This window comes from Homo sapiens, chromosome 4, assembly GCF_000001405.40.
Source record: "Homo sapiens chromosome 4, GRCh38.p14 Primary Assembly".
Taxonomy (NCBI): domain Eukaryota; kingdom Metazoa; phylum Chordata; class Mammalia; order Primates; family Hominidae; genus Homo; species Homo sapiens.
The window spans coordinates 10,237,152-10,241,394 of record NC_000004.12 but is presented as its reverse complement, the minus strand read 5'-3'; the positions used below and the strand labels follow the sequence as shown (position 1 = coordinate 10,241,394).

The following is a 4,243-nucleotide window of genomic DNA, read 5'->3' as shown; positions in this document are numbered from 1 at the left end:
AGAAGCTCCCAGCACTCTGCATTTGGTGCATTCAATGCATTCTGCATTCAGTCTTTTACCTCTGGGTGAGCTGATGATGCTGCATTGACCTGAGGATCTGCAAGAGCAGATTTAAGTGTCACGAGAAGGAGATACCTGCTCCTTCCAAGGTGAGTAGCAGTTCAATAGAATTTGTTCTGCTCAACAGTCTAGAGGGAGAGAAACAGAGCCCCATGCAAATTTAGATTACACAGTTAACACTGCAGACACATCAATTCCTAAGCATCAGTGAGTACTGTCCTCAGTCTTGATGTCTTTGGGCAAAGAGACAATTCTCCTTAGTACTCCTTAGCCTTGGATAGTCCCAATGAGCAGAGGTCATATAGAGGATTGGGGCCAGTGTACCAGGCTTATGATAACTGTGATGGTTAAAACTGAGTGTCAACTTGAAGAATTCGAAGTATTGTTTCTGGGTGTGTCTATAAGGGTGTTGCCAGAAAACATGAACATTTGAGGCAGTGGACTGGGAGAGGCAGACCCATCCTCAGTCTGGAAGGGCACCCTCTAATCAGCTACCAGCATGGCCAGGATATAAAGCAGACAGAGGAATGTGAAGAGATTCAACTGGGTTAGCCTCCCAGGCTATATCTTTCTCCCATGCTGGATGCTTCCCACCCTCAAACATCAGACTCCAAGTTCTTCAGCTTGGGGACTTGGACTGGCTTCCTTGCTCCTCAGCTTGCAGAGGGCCTATTGTGGGACCTTGCAATTGTGGGAGGTAATGCTCCTTAATAAACTCCCCTTTATATATACATCTATTAGTTCTGTCCCTCTAGTGACCCCTGACTAACACAGATAGTGACAAGGCAGCTGTTCCTTATCTAGTCATAGAAGGGTTTGTTCAGCTCTTCTCATGCACAGGCACTTTGCCAAGTCCTGATAGAATTGAGCAGGGGGTGGGTTGGGTACCGGCCTCTCTGTAAGCTATGTAGGTAAGCTATGTGAAAGGAAAATAAAAACCCAGGACCCCAATTTGCTATGCCCCCCCCCCAGAAAAATTTAAGCCAATAGCCAAGTCACGCATGATTCTGTGGCAGGCCAATTCTCCCTGACCGCCACATGGACGGGCCTGTGCAACCAGCAGACAGGCCTGTATAACACCCCAGTTAAAAATTTCCACAGCACTGCTTTAATATAAAGCTAATTAAACCCAGGGAAATGGATGCCCATGTATTAAAGCCAAAAATGAAACATATGCCCTACACAGGCTTCTCCCAAACCAGGAGCAAGTCAACATAATGGAGACAGCCTTACATTTCTTCTGCCAGGACCTGTCTTGGGCTCGATGACATCAGACGAGTCAAGTTAACAGAGGCAGCTGTGTGAATAGATGTATTGGAGAGTCTAAGGCAGCTCTCCGGACCAAACTGCAAATGAGGTAAAATAGAAATAATCACTCCGGTACCAAGGTCCTCAATTAAGTAGAATTTAGGGAGACAGGCCTTGAAGGTACTGGGGCCCTCACAGCTTGATCAGACTTGAAAGCGTTTTTTTGGCCTCTGACCTTCTAGTTGAAACAATTAGTTACCCATAGAATTAGGTGAATGCCATACCGCAGGAAGGCAAATAACCCCAGCCTATACAAGCGCTGAGAAAATTGTAACACTGAGTTGGTCTGGTGAAATTATCTCCAACCTTCTCCCTGTAGCCAGTTACAACAATAAATTCCAGTCTTTGCTAGTCAGTCTGCTTCTCACTGGGCCATGAGAAAACGCAGCTGAACCCAGCTTGGTTCCGGGAACAAAGCTGCCTTTCCTTTTGTCCCTAAAAGCAGATAGCTAGAGATAACAAGGTAAATCTCTACACAGGTACCTATTCTGTATTTGTCTTGTCATATGTAAAGTGCTGATTTACTGAGTCCAAGAGGGATGTGCCATTGACTATCCCCTACCTGCTCCTTTTCTCTTACAACGTATTGATTACCAATATCCTCACCTTTCTCCCTCCAGCCCGCTTTTCCTCTTTCAAGAATGGCACAGACCAGAGGCTGTGAGTCTGTTTCTTCCTCCTGGGCATGTCTTGTAACCTTGGAAAAATAAACTAAGTTGACTGAGAATTGTCTCATACTTTTTGGTTTATAACTGCAAGGAGTGGAGCTTCAGTTGATTCACTCTCTGGAACTGGGCTGCCAAACATAGCCTGCTGCAGGTGGAGTTATCCTGCATGTCTGGAGCAACGTGAAACAGTGGCAACATTAAGGATGCCCTGAGCACATACACTTTCACTGCAGAGCTGCTCACTGGAAGCCGAGCAGTACTCTACACCAGGAGGCTCTGAGCACCAAGGACTCATCTGGACCTAATGAGATGCTGACGTATGTTACCACTGGTTTCCAAATGAACAGGTGTTTTAGCCACCATATTCTTGCAGTAACTTTATATAGAAGGGTATTGCTAATTCTGTCCAAAATAAATTCTTAGTATGCTTGGTCTGATTAGAAGTTCTCATGGCTGGACAATTGTTATCAGCCCAGCAGGACAGGCACAAACCAGAAGTGCAGCTCCCAAGAACTATGTGGTGGTAAGGACTTCGGACCATCTTCCCCCTCAAGTAGTAAGGACTATAGCAGAAAGCATAGCATTAGGAATTCAACAACTGAAATTCCAAGGTCCAGGGACCCACATATGGCAAGCATCTTCTATGTCATCCCATGGCAGAAGGGAGACAGCATGTGCAAAGGAGGGCAAGAGAAAGGGTTCATTCTGAAGTGCAAGTCAAGAAACATCCAGCTTCTGCATCCAACCATCCATTACTACATGGAGATGTGAATGTGACAAAAGTCAGGGCAAGGGACCAAGAACAACAGACAACCAATGCAAGGAGAAGGTGCACATCATGCATTGACCTAATTATGTGGACCTGGGTGTGGAGCAGGACTTGGTCCTACCTATTCCTCATCGTCGGGAACCAGATTTCAGGCAAAAGCTATATGCTGGAAGTGCTGTGAGGAGGAGTCACCCTTCTCAGAGGCAGTTGCATTGCCACAAGGTGTCCTCTGGTGCTGAAAGCTGAGGAAGTGTGTGCATGAAGAGTAATGCAGAGACCAAGAGTCACTATGACTTTGAAGATCAAGATTTCAGATGCTTTGGAGGTAGAAAGAAATCAAAGCCCAGAACACCATTGTCATCACTGGGGAAGGGATGATCGGAAGTATCTGTTGTTCAAATGAGTGAGACATGGACTGTTCTTAGAGCTCAATTTCTGGAGGAAATAAGAATTAAGTTTAACAAATTACAGACTTCAGGTCATTTTCCCTTAAGCTGTATGGAGGTACACAGTAGTAAGATTCAACAGTTGCTATGTATTAAAACATTCACACAAGTGTGAAAAGTCACCTCCTTGTAGAGTGCCAGTGGTAAGTAGGCAGATTCTTGACACACACAGACACCATTGTCCTAATCCTTAGAACCTATAAAGATGTAAAGAGACATGCCAAGGGGGAATTTAAGGGAACCTATGAGAACAGTTTGCTAATCAACTGACTGGTATTCAGGTGTCATCCAGAGGGTTCCACTCACCAGAAGGGCAATTGATGACAAAGGAGAAGAGAAAGGTGCAAATGCAGGAGACAGATTTAAATCCTCCCACGTTCAGTTCTGCACTTCTTACACATCCTTTCCTGTATGCCCACCTAAGATAGCATGGCTTAAGAGGGCATCCAGCATCAGCTTCAAGTGTCGGATACTCAACCAAGGTGAATGAAACTTTAGCCAGGTTCAAAAACTGGTATATTTTCAAGGTACATCTCTGAAAAGGCATTTTCTGACCAAGCAACCAGAACCAATGGAATAAAGATCAAAGGCAGGCAATTCCAGAAGGTGTCAACCACATTAAGATAGTGAGCCCATGGCTCATGAAGACCATCACTGGGATATCTTCCTATAGAAAAGCAGAATGAAGTTGCTGAGATCTGAGAGCCCTGGTCTGTGAGCCTTGGAAAGAAGACCTTAGTGGTCCAGGCCCACTATCCTGGGGACATATGCAAGCATAAGTTGGAGTGCATGTCTCTTCCAGGACATCCACGAGGTGAAACATCACTAAGCTATCTCAAATACTTGCAGATAAAAATACCTTATAAGGGCATTTGAAACATAAGGAACAAGAGTCTCAGACAAGTCAGGATGACTTAGGCTGTCACTATCAAGGGCAGGCAAGATGAGGATCACATACCTCAGACTTGTGGCCAGAGTCAAAGCAAGATAGC

At 45.1% G+C, this 4,243-nt stretch overlaps 1 annotated feature.

Annotated features, from left to right (window-relative positions):
* Positions 584-1,433: a transcriptional cis regulatory region, noted in NCBI's record as "candidate enhancer chr4.979 targeted for multiplex CRISPR interference". NCBI's record gives its function as "positively regulates ZNF518B gene expression with high confidence in K562 cells {active_cell/tissue: K562}" and the evidence as "EXISTENCE:mutant phenotype evidence [ECO:0000015][PMID:30612741]".